Source organism: Homo sapiens, chromosome 2 (assembly GCF_000001405.40).
Source record: "Homo sapiens chromosome 2, GRCh38.p14 Primary Assembly".
In the NCBI taxonomy this organism is placed as follows: Eukaryota; Metazoa; Chordata; class Mammalia; order Primates; family Hominidae; genus Homo; species Homo sapiens.
Genome location: NC_000002.12, coordinates 96,210,393 through 96,235,894, shown reverse-complemented (window position 1 = coordinate 96,235,894; position 25,502 = coordinate 96,210,393). Strand labels below are relative to the sequence as shown.

General features: G+C 45.0%; 1 long non-coding RNA gene and 1 other non-coding gene across 2 annotated transcripts in view, besides 3 other annotated features; both read right to left on the bottom strand.

The window, feature by feature from the left end:
• STARD7-AS1 (STARD7 antisense RNA 1) overlaps positions 1-25,502 on the bottom strand; it is a 34,208-nt gene that overhangs the window by 6,729 nt on the left and 1,977 nt on the right. The gene's annotated exons all lie outside the window — the stretch shown is intronic.
• Positions 1,644-1,793: an enhancer, noted in NCBI's record as "active region_16208". NCBI's record gives its function as "activates an Ori minimal core promoter by ATAC-STARR-seq in GM12878 lymphoblastoid cells {active_cell/tissue: GM12878}" and the evidence as "EXISTENCE:reporter gene assay evidence [ECO:0000049][PMID:35858748]".
• Positions 1,804-1,873: an enhancer, noted in NCBI's record as "active region_16207". NCBI's record gives its function as "activates an Ori minimal core promoter by ATAC-STARR-seq in GM12878 lymphoblastoid cells {active_cell/tissue: GM12878}" and the evidence as "EXISTENCE:reporter gene assay evidence [ECO:0000049][PMID:35858748]".
• Positions 10,490-10,784: an enhancer, noted in NCBI's record as "tiled region #4718; K562 Activating DNase matched - State 5:Enh". NCBI's record gives its function as "activates a minimal TATA promoter and a strong SV40 promoter by Sharpr-MPRA in K562 cells {active_cell/tissue: K562}" and the evidence as "EXISTENCE:reporter gene assay evidence [ECO:0000049][PMID:27701403]".
• Positions 21,133-21,256, bottom strand: SNORA112 (small nucleolar RNA, H/ACA box 112). The gene has a single exon (NR_145789.1). It is a non-coding gene; the product is annotated as a small nucleolar RNA, H/ACA box 112 (small nucleolar RNA).

The following is a 25,502-nucleotide window of genomic DNA, read 5'->3' as shown; positions in this document are numbered from 1 at the left end:
TTTGTTGTAGTCTACTTTCACACTACAGGACATACCTGGATCTCGTAGGGTCCAGATGGGTGAATTAAGTGGAGATTTGAGGGAGGACACTACCCCTGCATCCTTTGTTCTTGAAGGTGGCATTAATCTCTGCCATTCCCCTGGGATGCAGTATTTTTATTTATTTAGAGACAGAGTCTCGCTCTGTTGCCCAGGCTAGAGTGCAGTGATGCAATCTCGGCTTACTGCAACCTTCGCCTCCCGGGTTCAATGACTCTCATGCCTCAGCCTCCCGAGTAGCTGGAACCACAGGTGTGTGCCACCATGCCCGGCTAATTTTTTTGTATTTTTAGTAGAGATGGGGTTTCACCATGTTGGCCAGGGTAGTCTCGAACTCCTGGCCTCAAGTGATCAATCTGCCTTGGCCTCCCAAAGTGCTGGGATTACAGGCGTGAGCCACTGTACCCAGTCTGCCTTTTCTTTCTTATGTTGGCTGGTTATATTAGTTATCTACTGTGGAATAACAAATCACCCCAGGGAGCACACTCATTTGGTGGGCTTTCATCTTAAAAGGAACAAAGGCAGTGTGTGTCCAGGTATAGGCTGGTAGATTTGGTGATGGGAAAATGAGGCAGTTCTGGTCTAGTTGTTTCTTTTTTTTTTTCCGAGACAGGGTCTCAATCTGTTGCCCAGTGCAGTGGCGAGATCATGGCTCACTAACTCCTACTGCTTCAATCTCCTGGGCTCAAGTGATCCTCCCACCTCAGCCTCCCAAATAGCTGGGATCATAGGAGTGCTTCACCCTGCCTGGCTAATTTTTAAATTATTTTTGGTAGAGACAGGGTTTTGTCATGTTGCCTAGGCTGGTCTCAAATTCCTGGGCTCAAGTGATCCTCCCGCCTTGGCCTCCCAAAGTGCTGGGATTACAGGCTTGAGCCACTGCACCTGGCCTGAGTTGCTTCCATTTTCTCATTAAACAAAGCAAGTCATCAGCTGAGATGTGAATCTCAGTAATACTGTCTGTATCATGAGACCTGTCTCCTTGGCCATAATTACCACAACCGGACCGGGGATGAGCTCCTAATCCAAGTGAAGGCACTTGATTCTTTCTTTTGGGAGCTTGAAGTGAGGATTCAAAGACATCAGTGTCAATTAGTGCTCAAACTGGAAGGATTTGTAAATTTAGAAACTGGGTCAGACATTTTTCTTTATATAAATGGAAAAGCTGAGAAGATTAGGTAGGGGTTGGGTGAAAGAGTAAAGCAGAAAGGAAGTAGAAAAGTAGAAAGAAAATAAGAGTCCACATAGACTTGGAGTTGCAAAAGAGGAATTACTTAGGTTCCTGTCCTAAGGTTTGAGTCCTCTGAGAAGATGCCCAGATAGGACTAAATGTGCAAGAGATGTGCTGGGAAAACACTTGTGAAGCGAATAGCAGGAAGCCGGAAGAGCCTGGGAGAGCTGCAATGCAGGTGTAGCCCCTGCCAGGAGACAGGAATGGAGGAGGGCTGGGTTGAGGAGGTGTTAGAACGCAGTGTAGTTCTTTCTTTTTCAGAGACAGTCTCCCTTTGTTGTCCAGGCTGGCCTCAAACTCCTGAGCTCAAGCAATTCTCCTCCCTCAGCCTCTTGAGTAGCTGGGACTACACATGCCTAACCATGCCCAGCTTAGAACGTAGTGTAGTTCTAAGAAAGCTCTGCAAGAGCTGATGAGGTGTGCTTGTGCCAAAGCCACCTGTCAGAGGAGTCCCCATATCCCAGAAATGGGCCTGCCTTAGTATGGCAGGCCTGCACTCAGTCACCGGGTGGGAGCAGCTCACAAGAAGGGTGGTCTCAGTGCAAATGCAGTGGCAGAATTTCATAGCCCAGCAGCAGGGGGCCATGTTACGCTCCCCTGCATTCAGAGATGTGAGCAGTGCACTCTCATGGCCACAGCTCCCAATGCCTTTTCAGTTCCTTTTTCTACCACCTTATGATGCGCAAGTGCCTTTCCTGCCTGTGAATTCTGAGCTTCTTGAGACACTCCTGGATCTTTCAAATTCGATTCCATATTTATGCTTAAACTACTTTGAGTGGATTCCAAGTACTTGCAACAAAAACAACAACAAAAAACATAGATTGAAATAGTAACAAGGGGACTATAATCTAAATTTTCTATATAAGAGGGGATGGAAGGAGGTAATAATAATTCTAGCGCTTATTCCTTATACCCTGTAGAGGGTTCTACAGTTTGTAATGTATTTTAGCTTACACAATCTTATTTGAGTCTTACAACAACCTCTGAACACAAGTAAGGCTGGCATCATTATCTGTATTTCACAGATGAGGAAGCTGAGTTTCAGAGACAATACAAATTATGCTGAATTGAAAAAAAATGGAGGCCGGGCGAGGTGGCTCACGCCTGTAATCCCAGCACTTTGGAAGGCTGAGGCAGGTGGATCACCTGAGGTCGGAGTTCGAGACCAGCCTGACCAACATGGAGAAACCCCATCTCTACTAAAAATACAAAATTAGCTGGGCATGGTGGTACATGCCTGAAATCCTAGCTACTTGGGAGGCTGAGGCAGGAGAATTGCTTGAACCCGGGAGGCAGAGGTTGCAGTGAGCTGAGATAGTGCCATTGCACTCTAGCCTGGGCAAAAAGAGCGAAACTCTATTCAAAAAAAAAAAAAAAAAGACAAACCATATAAATGTTAGCCTCTACCTATAAAAGCAGTGAGCCAAAAGCAGCACTGCATTCCTGGAGAGATTGCAGAAATTAGTTCCACCACTAATCAATGATCTGAAAGACACAGAGCTGATGATTTCCATTCAGCTTAGCTCTCTAGCCTGTGCAGATCCAAGATGGATCCAAGAGAATGGCGTGGATTATTATAAACTCAATTAGGTTGTGACTCCAATTGCAGCTGCTATTCTAGGTGTGCCTTCATTCATGAAGCAAATCAATGCATCCCTTGGAGCAAAGTATGCAGCTATTGATCTGATGAATGCTTTTTTCCTCAGCAATTTTTAGTAAAGACCATCAAAAGCAGTTTGCTTTGAGCTGACAGGGCTAGCAATACCTATTCGTTATCCAAACTCAGGACTGTATCAATTCGCAGTCATCTGTCATCATCTAGTTTGTGGAGACCTTGTCCTCTTCTCTACTCCACAGGACATCACATTCATCTAATGTGTTGATAATATGCTGATTAGAAGTAGTAACTATTCTAGCCACCTTGACGAGATATATGTATGCCAGAGGGTGGGAAATAAATCCCACAAACATTCAGTGAACCTTCTGGGGGGCCTAACGGTCTGGGGCATGTTAAGCTGGGCCCTACTACCACTAAGAGGCACAATGCCCAGTGGTTTTGGATTTTGAAGGCAATGTATACCTCATTTCAATGTTCTTCTCTGACCCATTTTCTGAATAACTTAAAAGGCTATCAGTTTTGAGTGGGGCCCAGAAGAAAAGATGACATTGTCATGACAGTTCCTGACTTATGAAGGTTCAACTTAATTTTTTTTACTTCAGCAATGATGCGAAAGCGATGTGCATTCAGTAGAAGCTGTATTTCGAATGCTGGATTTTGATCTTTCCCTAGGTGAGTGATATGTGGTGCGATGCTCTCTCGTGATGCTGGGCAGCAGCAGTGAGTGCAGCTCTGCCAGCCACAGGATCACTAGGCTGGATGACCAATATTCTACAGTGGGCTGTATGGACGGATCACTTTGCCCAACTGTAGGCCAATGTAAGTGTTCTGGGCATGTTTGAGGTAGGCTAGGCTAAGCTATGATGTCCTGTAGGTTAGGTGTATTCAGGGCATTTGCAACTCAGGATATTTTCTTTTCTTTTTCTGAGATAGGGTCTCACTTTGTCTCACCAGGCTGGACTGCAGTGGTGCAAGCATGGCTCTCTGCACCCTCGATCTCCTGGGCTCAAGCCATTCTCCCACCTCAGCCTCCCACGTAGCTGGGACTACAGGCGTGTGCCTCCATGCCTGGCTAACTTAAAAAATTTTTTTTTTTGTAGAGACAATGTCTTGCTATGTTGCCCAGACTGGTTTCACACTTCTGGGCTTAAGTGATCCTCCAGCTTTGGCCTCCCAAAGGGTGGGGATTACAGGCATGAGCCATTGCACCTGGCGAAATTTTTATAATTGTATGTTGTCTCAGCATCTGTTTTAAATACAGGTTAGCCTTTCTCATATAAAAAGCAGGACTCAGTCACCCTTGACACATTGTCCAGTTCTCCACCTCCTCCTAGCTCCTCAGTGTGATCAATCTAGATACCTGCCTTATACAACCACCTCCTGATGACCACTTCCCTGTGGACACCTAGATACTACATATGTGACTTGCTCCAACCCCCTCGCCCCACATGGACTGCCCAGACATGCTGCAGTGACCACCTCTGAGTCACAGCATGACCCCATGATACTTGTGCCTGCTTGCTCTAAACTTACCAGTTAGAACTCCTATCGGATGCAGTGGCTCACGCCTGTAATCCCAACACTGTGAGTGGCCAAGGTGGGAGGACTGCTTGAGACAAGGAGTTTGAGACAGCCTGGGCAACATAGCGAGACCTTGTCTCTACCAAAAATAATTTAAAAATTAGCTAGGCATGGTGGCGCACTCCTGTGATCCCAGATATTTAGGAGGCTGAGGTGGGAGGACTGCTTGAGCCTGAGAGGTAGAGGGTGCAGTGAGCTGTGATAGCGCCAGTGCACTCCAGCCTGGGCAACAGAATGAGACCATTTCAAAAAACCAAAAACCCGCTGGGCATGGCAGCTCATGCCTGTAATCCCAGCACTTTGGGAGGCCGAGGCAGGAGGATCACCTGAGGTCAGGAGTTTGAGACCAGCCTGGGGAACATGGCAAAACCATGTCTCTACTAAAAATACACAAATTAGCCAGGTGTGGTGGTGGGCACCTGTAATCCCAGCTACTCGGGAGGCAGAGGCATGAGAATCACTTGACCCTGCAAGGCGGAGGTTGCAGTGAGCCAAGATTGCACCACTGCCTTCCAGCCTAGGTGACAGGGTGAGACTCTGTCTCAAAAAAAAAACAACAACAAAAAAAACAAAACCAAAAACCAACCCCCCCCCCACCAAAAACAAACAAACAAACAAAAAAAACAAAAACTCCTCTCAGGAAACCTGCTTGGGTAATGGCCTGGACCCAATACAGACATTAGCCCTCAGGCCCCTTGCTTTCTCTCTCATTCCCTGCTCCCCAGCTAAGCACGTGTGTCCTGGCCAGCTCTCTCCCCACTGGCCCTGAGAGGCGTGCTGCCCTCTTCTCTGTAAGAGCTCTGTAAGCAATACACTGCTTCTGTTACTTCATGTGTTTTGCTGTGTTGCCTCCTCTGCAACTCACCTGACCATCATACCTGAACCCAACTCTCATTCCATAGAGGGTTCTCCTACAGAGTGGCTATCTTGGTAGGAATAAACTGGACACAAGTCAGACAAGAGCCACACAGGTGTCTGCCAGTATCAACAAGTTTCCTGTGAGACGGACACCTGGTCATGGGTCTGACACTTAGGAATTAGGCCATCTGCCAGATAATGAAGTATCCTGTCAATGGCGCACTGCAAACATCCATGGCCAGCTCTCCTGGGGCCCTGGAGTCAGGACAGGGCTAGAGTTTACAGCCACTCTCCAGAAAGAGGCCTCAAGATGAAATCAGAAGAAACACAATACTATCTTCTGCAGGTAACTATTCTCCTTTTGAGATACAGCTTCGAGCATGTCACTTGGCCCTAGTGGACACTAAAGCCCTTGGCTGTGGGCCACCAAATTATCAAGTGTCCTGAGCTAAGCCTAAATATCATTATTTATTAATGATAAATTAAATTGGGTATTATATGACTCATCAAGCCAGAAAGTTGCACTCCATCTACTTAATGATGGAGTCATTATGAAATGGAAATGGTATAAATGAGATTGGGTCTGAGCAGGTCCTAAATGCAGAAGCAAGTTCTCTGAGTAACTACTCCTGCTACATTGCCTATTCTCTCTCAACCCACATCTATGGCCTCATGGGAAATCACCTATCACCAGTTGACCAAGGAGGTAAAAATTAAAAAAAAAAATTCAAGTCTGGCTGGGCACGGTGGCTTACATTTTATAATCTCAGCACTTTGGGAGGCCCAGCCGGAAGGACTGCTTGAGCCCAGTAGTTCGAGAACAGCCTGAGCAACATGGTAAGATCCCACCTATACAAAATAATAATAATAATAATAATAATAATAATAGCCGGGTGCAGTGGCATGCACCTGTGATCCCAGCTACTTGGGAGGCTGAAGCAGGAGGACCACTGGGGCCTAGGAGGTTGAGGCTGAAGTGCAGTGGTGATCGTGCCACTGCACTTCAGCCTGGGCGACAGTGAGACCCTGCCTAAGGAAAAAAAAAAAAAATTCAAGTCTGGTTCCTTGTTACAGATGTTTCTGCATCACATATTGTTATAACCCCACTCAAGGTGGTCCTGAGAACAGTGGTCAAAGGAAATCTTCCGAGTGGGCAAAACTTTGATTGGTGCATGTGGTTGCTCATTTTACCTAGAAGGAGAGATGGTCAGAGTTGTAGCTCTACATTAGAGAAACATGATTGGAAAAGGGTAAAAGTTTGAATGCTTTGTCATTAAAACTGGGAACAAGTGAAGGGTGTCTACTCTCACTACTTCTATCCAACATTGTATTGAAGGTTCTAGTCAGTGAAATAAAGCAAGAAAAAGAAACAAGTACAGTGCTATGGCTTGAATGTCCTCTCCAAAACTCATGTTGAAACTTGATCCCCAATGTGGCAGTGTTGAGAGGTGGGGCCTTTGAGGGTGATTGGATCAAGAGGGTTCTACCCCCATGAATAGATTAATTCATAGATCAGTATATTAAAGGGTTAATGAATTAATGGGTTATCATCAGAGTGAAACTAGTGACTTTATAAGAGGAAGAGAGACGTGAGCATAGCACATTAGTACGTTCAGCCCCCTTGCCATGGGACACCCTGTGGCCACCTCAGGACTCGGTAGAGTCCCCATCAACAAGAAGGCTCTCACCAGATATGCCCCCTCAACCTTGGACTTCTGAGAACTCCATAACTATAAGAAACAAATCTTTTTTCTTTTTTTCCCTTTAAAAATGTGTATAAATATAAGGGATACAAGTGCAGTTGAGTCACATGAATATACTGCATAGTGGTGAAGTCTAAGCTTTTAGTGTCACCATCACCTTCTTTTTCTCTATAAATCACCCAACTTCAGGTATTCTGTTATAAGCAACAGAAAATGGACTCATACATACAGACTGGAAAGGAAGAAGGAAAATTGTCTTTATTTGCAGAAAACATAATTGTGTATATAAAAAACTCTAAGGAATTTATCAAAATAAGCTATTAGAACTAATAGAAAGATTGTGGGACAGCTGGGCGCAGTAGCTCACACCTGTAATCCCAGCACATTGAGAGGCTGAGGCAGGTGGATCATTTGAGGTCAGGAGTTCGAGACCAGCATGGCCCATATGGTGAAACCCTGTCTCTACCAAAAATACAAAAATTAGCCGGGCATGGTGGCACATGCCTGTAATCCCAGCTACTCAGGAGGCTGAGGCAGGAGAATCGCTTGAGCCTGGGAGGCAGAGTTTGCGGTGAGCTGAGATCGTGCCATTGCACTCCAGTCTGGGTGACAGAGTGAGACCCTGTCTCAAAATAAATAAATAAATACATAAATAAATAAATAAATAAATAAATAAAAGAAATAAAGATTGTGGAATACAAAGTCAACATAAAAACTATTATATTTCAGCTGGGCACAGTGGCTCACACCTATAATCCCAGCACTGTGGGAGGCCAAGGCGGGCGGATCACCTGAGGTCAGGAGTTCGAGACCAGCCTGACCAACATGGAGAAACTCTGTCTCTACTGAAAAATACAAAACTAGCCGGGTGTGGTGGCACATGCCTGTAATCCCAGCTACTCAGGAGTCTGAGGGAGGAAAATCGCTTGAATCCGAGAGGTGGAGGTTGAGGTGAGCTGAAATCTCCTCCGTTGCACTCCAGCCTGGGCAAAACTCTGTCTCAAAAAACAAACAAACAAACAAACAAAAAAAACCTTTTATATTTCTATATACTAGTATTGAAGTATTGGAAATTGAAAAATTTAAAATACCACTTGCAACGGGACCAAAAATCAGAAAAACACTTAAGGATAAATTAAACAAAATCATGCAAGACCTATACACTAAAGCTAAAAAAATGGCTGAGAAAGTTAAATGGAGGAATAAATAAATAAGAGATATGCTATGTTCATGAATTGGGAAGACTCCATATTGCTAAGACATCAATTCTCCCCAAATTAAAGATTCAATGCAGTCCCAATCAAAATCTGATCAGGCATTTTTTTGGGGTAGAAATTGACAAGGTGACTCTAAAATGTATATGGGAACACAAGGGACTCAGAACAGGCAAAAAACGTTGCAAAACAAAAAACCAGGTTGGAGGACTTATATTTAATTGATTTCAGTACTTACTTTATAGCTACACTAATTACTTTATTAGCTACACTAATCAAGATAGGGTGAAACTGGCATAAGGACATATAGATCAATGAAACAGAGTCTAGAAGTAGGCCCACACATATATGGTGAACTGGGTTTCAACACAGTGCAAAGGCCTTTAGAATGGGGAGAAAAAGATAATCTTTTCAACAAATTATGTTACAGCAACGTGATATCTATATGGGGAAAAAATGAACCCCTATCCTTACCTGATATCATATATAAAAATTAGCTCAATATGTATCATTGATATAAGTGTAAAAATGAAAACCATAACATTTCTAAAGGAAAACATAGACCTCTGTTATGTTTGGATAAGCAAAGATTTCTTAGATAGGACACAAACCATTAAAATTTTTTTTTTGATGCACTGAACATCATCAAAATCAAATATTTGTATTCTTCAGACACAAGTAAGACAATGAAAAGGCAAGCCTGGAACTGGAGAAAATATTTTCAAAACATATCTGAATAAAGGGCTTGTATCCAGAATATATAAACAATTTAAATAATAAAAAATAATTTTTTTTAAATTTAAAAACGGGCAAAATATTTCAAAAAACAAGTCATAAAAGAGAAACAAATGGTCAATAAGCACATGAAAAAATGCTTAACAAGACTACTCAACAAAGAAGTACAAATTAAAATCACAATGAGGCCAGGCACAGTGGCTCACGCCTGTAATCCCAGCACTTTGGGAGGCTGAAGCAGGTGGAGGATTACCTGAGGTTAGGAGTTCGAGACCAGTCTGGCCAACATGGCGAAACCCTGTCTCTACCAAAAATATAAAAATTAGCTGGGTGTGGTGGCACATGCCTGCAATCCCAGCTACTTGGGAGGCTGAGGTAGGAGAATCACTTGAACCCGGAAGGTGGAAGTTGCAGTGAGCTGAGATCGTACCATTGCACTCCAGCCTGGGCAACAGAGCAAGACTCCATCTCAAAAAAACAAAACAAAACAAAAACAACCAAAAGAAAAAACACAATGAAGTATTACTATAAGGCCGGGTGCGGTGGCTCATACCTGTAATCCCAGTACTTTGGGAGGCCAAGGTGGGTGGATTACCTGAGGTCAGGAGTTCGAGACCAGCCTGGCCAACATGGTGAAGCCTCATCTCTACTAAAAATACAAAAAATTAGCTGGGCGTGGTGGCGGGCACCTGTAATCCCAGCTACTTGGGAGGCTGAGGCAGGAGAATCACTTGAACTCAGGAGGAGGAGGTTGCAGTGAGCCGAGATCGCACCATTGCACTCCAGCCTCGGCAACAAAAGCGAAACTCCGTCTCTAAATAAAATTTAAAAACTGACAATATGGAGTACTGGCAAGGATGCAGAATAATCAGAACTCTTATACACTGCTGGTGGGAATACAAAATGATAAAACTACTTTGGAAGCAGGTTAGCAATTTCTTAAAAGGTGAAACACTGCCACTGCACTCCAGCCTGGGCAACAGAGCAAGACTCCGTCTCAAAAAAAAAAAAAGTGAAACACCATAAAACCTAGCAATTCCTTTTCTAGGTATTTACCTGAAAGAGTTGCATGCAAATATTCATAGCAGCCCAACCTGGAAACAATCCAAATGTCCATCAAATGGATAAACAAATGTCAGTATATTCATACAATGGGATAGTAAGCTACAAACTACTGATACAACAAAATAGATGAATCTCAAAACCATTACACTAATGGAAAGAAGCCAGATACAACATACTATATGATTTCATTCATATGAAATTCTAGAAAAGACAAAACTATAGTGATAGAAAGCAGATTATGGCTGTCAAAGGCCAGGGGTTGGGGAAAGGGACTGGCTGCGAAGGGGCACAGGGAACTTTTCAGAATGATGGTAATGTAATGTTTCACAGCATAATTGTGGCAGTGAATCTATGATTACCCCTTGACTGCCTGGAGAGTTTCCCTTTTGCAGCATAGGAAGAGAGAACCCAAGTGAAGGCCAACTGACTCCTTGAGTTGAGGACAAGGAGTTGGAAAGTCATAGAGAAGTTTGAGAAGCTGTTGCCTCTGTGGGTGTGAGGCCCTTGCTGGTCATTAGGCTCGTAATACAGGAAGAAGTCCTGGAACTAAAGCAGAGAAGAGTCAGTACAAGCTGGAATGAGCCAGTTACCTCTGCCTTTATTTATCACTCCATCTGACTGTGGAGTTTCCAAAAGTATAACGGCCCTGTTTCACTTCTGCTTTCCAAACAAGTTTCTGTTTGGCCAACTCTATATGTGGAGGAGAATTCTGGGAAATACCTAGCTTGACCAAGTTGACAATAGAACAATACGGCATCCACACACAAAATTTAAAGAACCATCCTTCATTACAAAGTACTTACATAACTTTTCTTAGTGTTATCTCAATAAAAACGAAAAATAGGAGATCTGATGATCAACACTGTATTTTCTAGCCTAATAATATTCAACTAATAATACTAATTGAAAAGAATTATCAGTTTTACCTATCTCATTATGAGAAGTGCCCAACATATTTTTATAATTTTGTTTTTTGAGACGGAGTCTTACTCTGTTACCCAGGCTGGAGTGCAATGGTATGATCTCGGCTCACTGCAACCTCCGCCTCCCAGGTTCAAGAGATTCTCCTGCCTCAGCCTCCCGAGTAGCTGGGATTACAGGCAACTGCCACCAAGCTCAGCTAATTTTTTGTATTTTTAGTAGAGACGGGGTTTCACCGTGTTAGCCAGGATGGTCTCAATCCCCTGACTTTGTGATCTGCCTGCCTTGGCCTCCCAAAGTGCTGGGATTACAGGTGTAAGCCACTGCACCTGGACACATTTTTATGATTTTTAATGACATTTGAGATACATGTTGTTTTAATCTTTTTTTTTTTTTGAGATGAAGTCTCACTCTTGTCACCCAGGCTGGAGTGCAGTGGCATGATCTCGGCTCACTGCAACCTCTGCCTCCCGGGTTCAAGCAATTCTCCTGCCTCAGCCTCCTGAGTAGCTGGGATTACAGGCACGCACCACCATGCCCGGGTAATTTTTGTATTTTTTAGTAGAGATGGAGTTTCGCCATGTTGGTCAGGCTGGTCTTGAACTCCTGACCTCGTGATCCGCCCACCTCAGCCTCCCAAAGTGCTGTGATTACAGGCATGAGCCACCGCGCCTGGCTTGTTTTAATCTTGTATGCTAATAATAGAAATAAAAATTCAGTCCAGAAAAATAATGAACCCTTAAAGACTTATAAGAAATTTTAAAAAATTTTTAATTTTTATTTTGTGTGTGAGAGACAGGAGCATATGATGGGGGATCAATAAAGAATTTATGGATGGGCACAGTGGCTCACACCTGTAATTCTAGCACTTTAAGGCCGAGGCGGGCATATCTTCTGAGGTCAGAAGTTCGAAACCACCCTGGCCAACATGGTGAAACCCCATCTCTAATTACAAAAATCAGCCGGGCATGATGGTGCACACCTGTAGTCCCAGCTATTCAGGAGGTTGAGGCAGGAGAATCACTTGAACCTGGGAGGCGGAGGCTGCAGTGAGCCAAGATCATACTGGCTGGGTGTGGTGGCTCACGCCTGTAATCCCAGCACTTTGGGAGGCCGAGGCGGGTGGATCACTTGAGGTCGGGAGTTCAAAACCAGCCTGACCAACATGCAGAAACCCTGTCTCTACTAAAAATACAAAAAATTAGTCAGGCATGGTGGCACATGCCTGTAATCCCAGCTTCGGGAGGCTGAGGCATAAGAATTACTTGAACCCAGGAGGCGGAGGTTGTGGTGAGCCGAGATCACACCATGGCACTCCAGCCTGGGCAACAAGAGCGAAACTCCATCTCAACAAAAACAACAGAAGAATTTATGCTGTACATATACTTCATTAGGATAAAATTCTGTGGGGTAAGCAGATGAAGGTGAAAAGTAAAATTAGCAACTCTTAAAAAAAGAATAATGACTAGGGTTGGGTGTGGTGGCTTACGTTTGTAATCCCAGCACTTTGGGAGGCCAAGGCAGGAGGATTGCTTGAGCCCAGGAGCTCAAGACCAGCCTAGGCAACATAGTGAGACCCTGTCTCTTAAAAAAAGTTAAAAAAGGGCAACCCCCTTTGGGTCCCCTCCCATTTTACGGGAGCTTTGTTTTCACTCTATTAAATCTTGCAACCACATACTCTTCTGGTCTGTGTTTGTTATGGCTCGAGCTGAGCTTTTGCTCACTGTCCACCCACTGCTGTTTGCCACCGTTGCAGACCTGCTGCTGACTTCCACCCCTCCAGATCCAGCAGGGTGTCCACTGTGCTCCTGATCCAGTGAGGTGCCCATTGCCTCTCCTGATCAGGCTAAAGGCTCACTATTGTTCCTACATGGCTAAGTGCCCGGGTTCGTCCTAATCAAGCTGAACACTAGTCGCTGGGTTCCACGGTTCTCTTCCATGACCCACGGCTTCCAATAGAGCTATAACACTCATCGCATGGCCCAAGGTTCCATTCCTTGGGATCCGTGAGGCCAAGAACCCCAGGTCAGAGAACAAGAGGCTTGCCACCACCTTGGAAGCGGCCCACCACCACCTTGGGAGCTCTAAGAACAAGGACCCCCCCGGTAACATTTTGGTGACCACGAAGGGACCTCCAAAGCAGTGAGTAATATTGGACCACTTTCACTTGCTATTCTGTCCTATGCTTCCTTAGAATTGGAGGAAAATACCAGGCACCTGTCGGCTAGTTAAAAACGATTAGTGTGGCCACCAGACTTAACACTCAGGTGTGAGGCTGTCTGGGAAAGGGCTTTCTAACAACCCCCAATTCTTCTGAGTTGGAAGCGTTGGTCTGCCTGGAACCAGCTTCTGCTTTCAATTTTCCTGGGGAAACTGAGGGCCTACTAGAGGCAGAAAGCTGTCATCTCAAACTCCCAGCATTAGCCGGTTGAGTTCATGGCACAGCCAGAAGTCTCTACTCAACAGTTGCCCATGCGTGTACCCCTACCTTTCCTTCTGACCCATACGTCCTGGGTCCCGACCATGACTTTCTTGAAAGTGTAGCCCCCAAATTCTCCTTACCTCTGAATCTACTTCCTCTGATCCCTGCCTCCTAGGTACTAATGGTTCAGACTTTCATTTCCTTTCCCAAGTATTAGAGCAAGTTGTATCTCCAAAGGGATCTAAGGAAGCTCTATGCTGTGTCCTTAGGCATCTAGGCTATGAACCCAGGGAGTTTTGTCCCTGGTGTCCCTCCCAATTTAGGCATACAGCTCTTGACATGGGCAGTTATGTGGGACCCATTCCCTACCACCCTTGCCAAGGCCCCAAGTTTGTAAATGCCTAGGAGGATTGCTCTTCCATTGTGTAAGATGCTCTCCTCCCCCGATTTCTACCCAGCTTACCCCTCTGCAATGCAATCTCTAAGCCTTGGCTCCTTGGCCAGGGCCTTAGAACTGATGACCCAGTACTTTAACAATTGGAACTGGGTCTACGACAACATAATAGATCAGAATGAAAGCAAATTGAGTAAGTCAAGGAGAGAAGAGATAGAGAGAGACAGAGAGAGAAAAGAGAGAAGAGAGGGAGACAGGGAAAAAAAGAGACAGAAGTAGTAAAGAAAAAAACAGTGTGCCCTATTCCTTTAAAAGCCAGGGTAAATTTAAAGCCTATAATTGATAATTGAAGGTCTTCTTTGTGACCCTATAACACTCCAATACTAACTTGTTGTCAGTGTAAACAAGGGCATAGTCTGAAAACACTGAGACCACTGACAACCAGTAGCCTTCCTATCAAAAATCCTTAACCCAGGAACCCACGGATGGCCCAAATGCATTCATTCTGTAGCAGAAACTGCTTTGCTAACAGAAGAAAGTAGAAAAGTAACTTTTAGAGGAAACCTCACTGTGAGCACACCTCACCAGTTCAGAATTATTCTAAGTCAAAAAAGCAAAAAGGTAGCTCACTAACTCAAAAATCTTAAAGTATGGGGCTATTCTGTTAGAAAAAGGTGATTTAACATTAACCACTAAAAATTCCCTTAACCCAGCAGATTTCCTAATAGGGGATTTAAATCTCAATTACCATACAAAGGTCCGACCAGATCTAGGAGGAACTCCCTTCAGGACAGGACTATAGATGGCTCCTCCCAGATGATTGAGAAACAAACCACAATGGGTATTCAGTAATTGATAGGGAGACTCTGGGTATTCAGTAATTGACAGGGAGACTCTTGTGGAAGCAGAGTTAGGAAAATTGCCTAATAATTGGTCTGCTCAAATGTGCAAGCTGTTTGCACTCAGCCAAGCCTTAAAGTACTTACAGAATCAAAAAACTCTATCTCAATCCTTACTCAAAAGGTTACCTACACCCTCTCTGAAACGAATTTGCATAAGAACTGTTGTTTAAGGGAATGCATCTTGATAGGGATATAATGTTACTGCTAGATCAGACACTAACCCCAAATGAGAGAAGTGCCGCCATAACTTCAGCCCGAGAGTTCGGCGATCTCTGGTATCTCAGTCAGGTCAATGATAGGATGACAACAGAGGAAAGAGAACAATTCCCCACAGGCCAGCAGGCAGTTCCCAGTGTAGACCCCCACTGGAACGCAGAATCAGAATATGGAGATTGGTGCCGCAGACCTTTACTAACTTGCGTGCTAGAAGGACTAAGGAAAACTAGGAAGAAGGCTATAAATTATTCAATGATGTCCACCATAACACAGGGAAAGGAAGAAAATCCTACTGCCTTTCTGGAGAGACTAAGGGAGGCATTGAGGAAGCATACCTCTCTGTCAACCTGACTCTGTTGAAGGCCAACTAATCTTAAATGATAAGTTTATCACTCATTCAGCTGCAGACATTAGAAAAAAACGTCTAAAGTCTGCCTTAGGCCCAGAGCAAAACTTAGAAACCCTATTGAATTTGGCAACCTTGGTTTTTTATAATAGAGATCAGGAGGAGCATGTGGAACGGGATAAACGGGATAAGAAAAAGGCCACTGCTTTAGTCAGGGCTCTCAGGCAAGCAGACTTTGGAAGCTCTGGAACACGGAAAGGCTGGGCAAATCAAATGCCTAATAGGGCTTGCTTCCAGTGTGGTCTTCAAGGACACTTTAAAAAAGATTGTCCGAATAGAAATAAGCCACCCCCTCGTCCATGCCCCTTATGTCAAGGGAATCACTGGAAGGCCCACTGCCCCAGGGGATGAAGGTCCTCTGAGTCAGAGGCCACTAACCAGATGATCCAAGCAGCAGGACTGAGGGTGCCCGGGGCAAGTGCCAGCCCATGCCATCACCCTCACAGAGCCCGGGGTATGCTTGACCACTGAGGGCCAGGAGGTTAACTGTCTCCTGGACACTGCTGTGGCCTTCTCAGTCTTACTCTCCTGTCCTGTCCTCCAGATCTGTCACTATCTGAGGGGTCCTAGGACAACCAGTCACTAGATACTTCTCCCAGCCACTAAGTTGTGACTGGGGAACTTTACTCTTTTCACATGCTTTTCTAATTATGCCTGAACGCCCCACTCCCTTGTTAGGGAGAGACATTCTAGCAAAAGCAGGGGCTACCCAAGCATTCAGGGGTAGCCCCCATCTATTTGGCCAGGCATTAGCCCAAGACTTCAGACAGTTTTAATACCTGGACACTCTTGTCCTTTGGTACGTGGATGATTTACTTTTAGCTGCCCGTTCAGAAACCTTGTGCCATCAAGCCACCCAAGTGCTCTTAAATTTCCTCGCCACCTGTGGCTACAAGGTTTCCAAACCAAAGGCTCAGCTCTGCTCACAGCAGGTTAAATACTTAGGGCTAAAATTATCCAAAGGCACCAGGGCCCTCAATAAGAAATGTAACCAGCCTATACTGGCTTATCCTCATCCCAAAACCCTAAAGCAACTAAGAGGGTTCCTTGACATAACAGGCTTCTGCCAAATATGGATTCCCAGGTAAGACAAAATAGCCAGATCATTATATACACTAATTAAGGAAACTCAGAAGGCCAATACCCATTTAGTAAGATGGACATCTGAAGCAGAAGTGGCTTTCCAGGCCCTAAAGAGGGCCCTAACCCAAGCCCCAGTGTTAAGCTTGCCAACAAGGTAAGACTTTTCTTTATATGTCACAGAAAAAAACAGGAATAGCGGCTGGGTGCGGTGGCTCATGCCTGTAATCCTAGCACTTTGGGAGGCCGAGGCGGACGGATCACGAGGTCAGGAGATTGAGACCATCCTGGCTAACACGATGAAACCCCATCTCTACTAAAAATACAAAAAATTAGCCAGGCGTGGTGGCAGGCACCTGTAGTCCCAGCTACTCAGGAGGCTGAGGCAGGAGAATGGTGTGAACCTGGGAGGCGGAGCTTGCAGTGAGCCCAGATGGTGCCGTTGCACTACAGCCTGGGCAACAGAGCAAGACTCTGTCTCAAAAAAAACAAAAAACAAAAAGCAAACAAAAAAAGGAATAGCTCTAGGAGTCCTTACACAGGTCCAAGAGACCAGCTTGCAACCCGTGGCATACTGAGTAAGGAAACTGATATAGTGACAAAGGGTTGGCCTCACTGTTTACGGGTAGTGGTGGCAGTAGCAGTCTTAGTATCTGAAGCAGTTAAAATAATACAGGGAAGAGATCTTACTGCGCGGACATCTCATGATGTGAACGGCATACTCACTGCTAAAAGAGACTTGTGGCTGTCAGACAACCGTTTCCTTAAATATCAGGCTCTACTACTTGAAGGGCCAGTGTTGCGAATGCACATTTGTGCAACTCTCAGCCACATTTCTTCCTAACAATAAAGACAGAATACAACTGTCAATAGGTGATTGCTCAAACCTATGCTGCTCGAGGCGACCTTCTAGAGGTTCCCTTGATTGATCCCGACCTCAACTTGTATACTAATGGAAATTCCTTTGTAGAAAAAGGACTTCAAAAAGCGGGGTATGCAGTGGTCAGTGATAATGGAATACCTGAAAGTAATCTCCTCACTCCAGGAACTAGTGCTCAGCTGGCAGAACTAATAGCCCTCACTCGGACACCAGAATTAGGAGAAGAAAAAAGGGTAAATATATATACAGACTCTAAGTATGCTTACCTAGTCCTCCATGCCCATGCAGCAATATGGAGAGAAAGGGAATTCCTAACTTCCGAGGGAACACCTATCAAACATCAGGAAGCCATTAGGAGATTATTCTTGGCTCTACAGAAACCTAAAGAGGTGGCAGTCTTACACTGCCAGGGTCATCAGAAAGTAAAGGGAAATAGAAGGGAACTGCCAAGCGGATATTGAAGCCAAAGATCCGCAAGGCAGGACCCTCCATTAGAAATGCTTATAGAAGGATCCCTAGTATGGGGTAATCCTCTCCGGGAAACCAAGCCCCAGTACTCAGCAGAAGAAATAGAACGGGGAACCTCAGGAGGACATAGTTTCCTCCCCTCAGGATGGCTAGCCACTGAAGAAGGAAAAATACTTTTGCCTGCGGCTAATCAATAGAAATTATGTAAAAGCCTTCACCAAACCTTTCACTCTTACTGCACCCCCTGTATGCCGCTGTACTACCAGTAGCTCCCCTTACCAAGAGCTTCTATGAAGAATGCGGCTTCCCGGAAATATTGATGCCCCATCGTATAGGAGTTTTTCTAAAGTTGCGGAAACCCCACTTTCACTGCCCACACCCTTATGCCCCTGCACTTCAGGCTACACATTTCAATCCCTGTATCTTTAACCTCCTTGTTAAGTTTGTCTCTTCCAGAATCGAAGCTGTAAAACTACAAATCGTTCTTCAAATGGAGCCCCGGATGCAGTCCATGACTAAGATCTACTGTGGACCCCTGCTAGCCCATGCTCCGATGTTAATGACATCGAAGGCACCCCTCCCGAGGAAATATCAACGGCATGATCCCTAGTATGCCCAAATTCAGCAGGAAGCAGAGCGGCCGTCGGCCAACCTCCCCAACATCACTTGGGTTTTCCTGTTGAGAGGGGGGACTGAGAGACAGGACTAACTGGATTTCCTAGGCCAACTAAGAATTCCCAAGCCTAGCTGGGAAAGGTGACTGCACCCACCTTTAGACATGGGGCTTGTAACTCAGCTCACACCCGACCAATCAGGCAGTAAAGAGGGCTCACTAAAATACAAATGAGGCTAAAGCAGAAGGTAAAGAAATAGTCAAATCATACATTGCCTGAGAGCACAGGGGGAGGGACAATGATCGGGATATAAACCCAGGCAATCGAGCAGGGAGCGGCAACCCCCTTTGGGTCCCCTCCCATTTTATGGGAGCTCTGTTTCACTCTATTAAATCCTGCAACTGAAAAAAAAAAAGTTAAAAAGAATAATGATAGGTACTAAATTGCTATGATATAGATTCCATTGGATACATTTGAAAATGATGTAACATCTTTATTTTAAAATAATATTTACAACAATCCAGAAATGGTGTAATGTGCAATCATTTAAACTCATAATCTTGGATCACCTTAAAAAATGCAAAGTGGGGATATAGTTTTTCAACATTGTTCTGGGGATACACAAGTAAACAAAGTTTGTTGATAACAGGTGGAGCACCATGGCTCATGCCTGTAATCCCAGCATTTTGGGAGGCTGAGGCAGGTGGATTTCTTGAGCCCAGGAGTTCGAGACCAGCCTGGTCCACATGGCAAAACCCTGTCTCTACAAAAAAATACAAAAATTAGCCAGGCATGGTAGCATGCACCTGTAGTCCCAGCTACTTGAGAGGCTGAAGCAGGAGAATTGCTTGAGCTGGGAGGCGGAAGTTGTAGTGAGCAGAGATCAAGCCACTGCACTCCAGCCTGGGTGACAGAGTGAGACCCTGTCTCAAAAAAAAAAAAAAAAAAAAAAAAGTTGGTTTATTTGAAGGGAGGTCATCTGAGACAGTACTATTAGAACCTTAAAAAAAGTGACAGAATTCTGTCAAAAAATTGATTTTTTAATTTCTAAACAGGAAGAAATGATAGGGAGGTACAGAAATAGAGGCAGGAAACATATAGTTGTCCCTTGGTATCTGCGGGGGATTTGTTCCAGGACCTCCTGTGGATGCTCAAGTCCCTGATATAAAATGGCATAGTATTTGCACATAATCTATGTACATACTCCCATATACTTTAAATCATCTCTAGATTCCTTATAACTAATACAGCGTAAATGCTCTACAGTTGTTATACTGTATTGTTTAGGGGAGGGGTGCTCACAGCGCATTACCGCCTGAACTCTGCCTCCTGTCAGTTCAGCGGTGACACTGGATTCTCACAGGAGAGCGAACCCTATTGTGAACTGTGCATGCTAGGGATCTAGGTTGCTATGAGAATCTTACTAATGCCTGATGATCTGAGGTGAACAGTTTCATCCCAAAACCATCCTACCCCGTCCGTGGAAAAACTGTCTCCCATGAAACCAGTCCCTGGTGCCAAAAAGTTTGGGGACCGCTGGTTTAGGGAATAATGACAAAAAAGTGGGTACATGTTTAGTATAGATGCAATTTTTTTTCCCAAATATTTTCCATCCACAATTAGTTGAATCCCTGGATGCAGAACCCGTAAATACAAAGGGCCACCTGTATATGCCATTGTTTTTAAAAATATATAGGCCGGGCGCGGTGGCTCACACCTGTAATCCTAGTACTTTGGGAGGCCGAGGCGGGTAGATCACGAGGTCAGGAGTTCAAGACCAGCATGGCCAAGATGCTGAAACCCTGTCTCTACTAAATATACAAAAATTAGCTGGGCGTGGTGGCACGCGCCTGTAATCCCAGCTACTTCAGAGGCTGAGGCAGGAGAATCGCTTAAACTCGGGTGCCAGAGGTTGCAGTGAGGCAAGATCAAGCCACCGCACTCCAGCCTGGGCAACAGAGCAAGACTTCGTCTCAAAAAAAAAAAAAAAAAAAAAAAAAAAAAAAAACAACTTAGCAGTGGAAAGAGAAGTGGTATCTAGAAAGGGGAAGAGTTAAAGCCTCTTTTTAAAGACTTTTATCCCCAAAGCCTTTTTTGAAGATGAACTCGATTATGTTTATGTACTGATGGGAAACAGGCAGTAGGATGGAGAAAATGGCTGCATTAGAGAGGCTCAGCAGGAGTTTCTGAGGATTCGTTTGGTTTATAGGATATTGGTAGAAAACTTATGTATACATATAAAATCAAACCCACAAAGTACTCCTTTTTTTTTTTTTTTTTTTTTGAGACAGAGTCTCCCTCTGTAGCCCAGGCTGGAGTGCAATGGCATGATCTCGGCTCACTGCAACGTCCGCCTCCCAGGTTCAAGCAATTCTCCTGCCTCAGCCTCCCAAGTAGCTGGGATTACAGGCATGCACCACCACACCTGGCTAACTTTTGTATTTTTAGTAGAGATGGGGTTTCACCATGTTGGCCAGGCTGGTCTCGAACTCCTGACCTCAGGTGATTCGCCCGCCTTGGCCTCCCAAAGTGCTGGGATTACAGGCGTGAGCCACCGCACCCGGCCAAAGTGCTCCTTTAAAAAAATTATTATTATTAAGAAATCCACTTCTCTAACTGTCACAAAGTCCAGGCTGAGTTAACAGTGATGAGTTCCGGAGGTAACTCCACCCCACTCCGGGTTTTCTGGTTACAATCACTGTATTCACTCTCCACCTCAACTGAAAACCCAGACTCAGGAAGCCTCAAGCCCTGCCCTTCTATTCCTGGCAGATGCCAAGGCCAACTATGTAGGAGGCTTTTTTAGAGAAGACACTTCATCTTCCCAAAAGACAAACCCTCCACTCTGCTTTATGAGGCAGATAGCAACAACAAACCACCAATGGGTTGGGGCTTGCGCAGGCCTCATTGGCTCCTTTTAAAAATGTTTTTAGAGAGAGGGTGTAGTGGCTTATGTCTGCAAACCCAGCACTTTGGGAGGCCGAGGCAGGCAGATCGCCTGAGGTCAGGAGTTCGAGACCAGCCTGGGCAACATGGTGAAACTCCGTCTCTACTAAAATACAAAAAATTTGCTGGGCATGGTGGCATGGGCCTGTAATCCCAGCTACTTGGGAGGCTGAGGCATGGGAATTGCTTGAACCCAGGAGGTAGAGGTTGCAGGGAGCCAAGATCCAGCCTAGGCAACAGAGTGAGACTCCGTCTCAAAACAAAACAAAACAAAACAAAAAACCCCTGGCTAAACACGGTGTCAAATACTACTTTCTGTTACATACACATTTCTTCTTCACTGCTTTCCAGATGAAATAAAACCTCATTAATCCAACCTAAAATCGGACAGGCTGGATAGGAAAGACCTAAATTTCGGTTCCCAGGAAAGCATAATCTCTCTTTGGAGAAACAGTTACTTTTATTAAGAACGTCTAAAATCGCATAACTCTTTAGCTACAGTAAAATTCCTAAATGCCTTGGAACCAGCAGTCCATTTCACACCAAGACAGTTTATAATATTTTTTCTTCTGTCAATAAGGTGCTTAAATATAAGATTTAAAAGGGTAAGGAAACAACTTAGCAGCTTTGTTTTAATGAGGCTGGATACAGAATAGTAATTTAATACACTTTGAGATCATTTAGCCAGGTTGCTCACAGGTGAGTAAATCTGTTTACCTTCCAACACTGTCACCTTTGGGTCAAAAAGAGAGGGACAGCTACTACTTGACCTAGGGCATCTGCCCCAACAAACTCTCTTCTGTTGCTCTTTTACCAAAAGGCTGACATATTTGCAGACTGCGACGGGCCACCTGCCCATGTGACTCCCTCTGGACTGTCCTGGGCGCTCAGGCTGTGACACGGGTCCATTCTTGGACCGAGGAGTTAGCAGAGAGGAATGTTTGGGGTGCTTCTGGGAGAGCCAGGAGGGGAGGCCGGGGAAGGTTTTGATGGCAGGCGTCGAAGGAAGGTTTTGATGGCAGGCGTCGAAGGCCTGAGGAGTCCCCCTTCACCAGTGGTGTCTTTACTGCCCCCTACCCCATCCTGGTGTAACCACCCAATGGGTTCACCTTGCCTGCTGCATAGACAGAGCTGATTTATCAAGACAAGAGAATTGCAATAGAGAAAGAGTAACTCACGCAGAGCCCACTGTGCGGGAGACCAGAGTTTCATCATTACTCAAATCAGTGTCCCTGAGCATTTGGGGATCAATTTTTTTTTTTTTTTTTGAGATGGAGTCTCGCTCAGTTGACCAGGCTGGAGTGCAGTGGCGTGATCTCAGCTCACTGCAACCTCTGCCTACTAGGTGCAAGCAATTCTCCTGCTTCACTCAGCCTCCCTAATAGCTGGGATTACAGGGGTGCACTACTATGCCCAGGTAACTTTTGTATTTTTAGTAGAGACGGGATTTTGCTATGCTGGCCAGGCTGGTCTTGAATTCCTGACCTCAAGTGATCTGCCTGCCATGGCCTCCCAGCAAAGTGCTGGGATAACAGGCGTGAGCCACCGCACTGCACCTGGCCAAGAGACCTTTTTTTTTTTTTTTTTTGTGAGACGCAGTCTCGCTCTGTTACCCAGGCTAGAGTGCAATAGCGCTATTGTGGCTCACTGCAACCTTGGCCTCCTGGGTTCAGGCGATTCTCCTGCCTCAGCCTCCCAAATAGTTGGTATTATAGGCGCCCACCACCATGCCTAATTTTTGTATTTTTTGTAGAGACGAGGTTTCGCCATGTTGGTTAGGCTGGTCTCAAACTCCTGACCTCAGGTGATCCGCCCACCTCAGCTTCCCAAAGTGCTGGGATTAAAGGCATGAGCCACTGTGCCAGGCCCCAACCCAGAGTTTTAAAGGAGACTTTGGTGGGTGGGGGAAGGTCAGTGAGTCCAGAGTGCTGATTGGTTGGGTCCGAGATGAAATCATAGGGAATTGAAGCTGTCATCTTGCACTGAGCTGGTTCCCGGTTGGGGGTCACAGATCAAATGAGCCATTTTATCCATCTGGGTGGTGCCAGCCGATCCATCAAGTGCAAGGTCAGCAAAATATCTCAAGCACTGATCTTAGGAGCAGTTCAGGGAGGGTCAGAATCTTGTAGCCTCTTAAACCTTAACTTCTAACCTTGTGGCTAATTTGTTAGTCCTACAAAGGCAGTCTAGTCTCCAGGCAAGGACCTTTGTTTTGAGAAATGGCTGTTATCCTCTTTGTTTTAAACTATAAATTACGTCCCTCCCAAAGTTAGTTCAGCCTATGCCCAGGAATGAATAAGGACAACTTGGAGGTTAGAAGCAAGATGGAGTTGGTTAGGTCAGATCTCTCTGTCTCAGTTATAATTTTGCAATGGTGGTTTTAATCCCTCCCTTTGGGTTTATAACACCTTTATCTTAAGGTGTTGTTAATGAAGATGGAAAAAGGGCAAAGACCTTAACTTCTTCCTACTAACCAGGGGTGTAGTGAGGGGTAGGTGTTGACTCCAAGGTGAGAGGAGTGGAACCACTTTGCAACTGTCTGAGTGTACTCCTGCAGGCCTGACTGGGGTTCGAAGGCTTGCATGGCAAAGGCATTAGTATTGCCACCTATAGTTTTCGTACTGTGTTTAAGGGAACCGTGTACTATAAGGGAAATAATGAGTACTAGGGTAAGGAGTGCAGTTCCCAGTTTTAAAAGTAAAGATTTAAAAGCATTAGCCTGGGAACTTGTAGCCCACAAAGAATTTAGGATTTAGTTCAAACTGCAGAAAAAAACTTAAGAACAGTTAACAAAAGGTGTACCACAGTTTTTCTTCTGAAGCATAATTTTTCTCTCTCCAGTTCCCATTTTTACTAAAAACAAATCATGATAGAACTGATTTGTTTACAAAATAAACCGCAGTCTTATTGTACTTGGCCTGATGATTTGCATAAAGTGAAGCAAGAATAATTATTTTTCACATAGGCTTTGTTTTTTTTTTTGAGATGAAGTCTTGCTTCGTGGCCCAGGCTAGAGTGCGGTGGTGCGATCGTGGCTTACTGCAACCTCCGCCTCCCAGGCTCAGGCGATTCTCCTGCCTCAGTCTTCCAAGTATCTGGGATTACAGGTATCTGCCACCACGCCCAGCTAACTTTTTGTATTTTCAGTAGAGACAGGGTTTCACCATGTTGGCCAGGCTAGTCTCAAACTCCTAACATTGTGATCTGCCTGCCTTGGCCTCCCAAAGTGCTGGGATAACAGGTGTGAGCCACTGCGCCTGGCCTTCACATAGGCTTTTAAAATTGGCTTTGATGGAACTCTGTTCCATAAGAAATCTTAGATAAGACCTTTTTAAAGCCAAGCCCAGCCATGGGTTTGTACCCTCGAATACCTATGAGTTGGGTAAATTCCTCTCCTCTTGAGGTGTCAAGATAACTTAGGTCTCCTGAGCCTGTTAGAAAGTGACATTCTTTACTTACCACAGGTCAGGAACCTCGTACAGGGACTGTGTTGACATAGTATGAGGCCAGATTTCCCAAGGGGCTCTATAAGTCAATTTTTTGGCTTATTGGCTCTATAAGTCAACTTTGTTTTTTTTTTTTTTGAGACGGAGTCTCGCTCTGTCGCCCAGGGTGGAGTGTAGTGGCGCGATCTCGGCTCACTGCTGCAAGCTCCACCTCCCGGGTTCACGCCATTCTCCTGCCTCAGCCTCCCGAGTAGCTAGGATTACAGGTGCCCACTACCACGCCCGGCTAATTTTTTGTATTTTTAGTAGAGACGAGGTTTCACCGTGTTAGCCAGGATGGTCTGGATCTTCTGACCTCGTGATCCGCCCGCCTTGGCCTCCCAAAGTGCTGGGATTAAAAGTGTGAGCCACCATGCCCGGCCTAGAGCTCTTTTTTCTAAGAAAAAATCCTTTTAAGGCCAGGCACGGTGGGTCATTGAATCGTGAATTCAATGGGTGGTCTCTGAGCAGTCACCCTGAATCAGGCCTGTTAAACTTCTTTCAGGGCTCACTGAATGTGACTAGATAAATAAGGAGTGTTCTCCAAGTTAGGCCTGCTGGATTTTCATCAGCAATTCCTTCAGAGATCCCCTCCATATATACAAACACACACACGAAGACAAGACAGACAGAAGGCCTTCCAAATTAAGGTCCCTAACCAAGAACTCCAAGAGTACCCCTTCCAAACTATCCTCCTATTCTCCATCTGACAAATCTCCCTGAA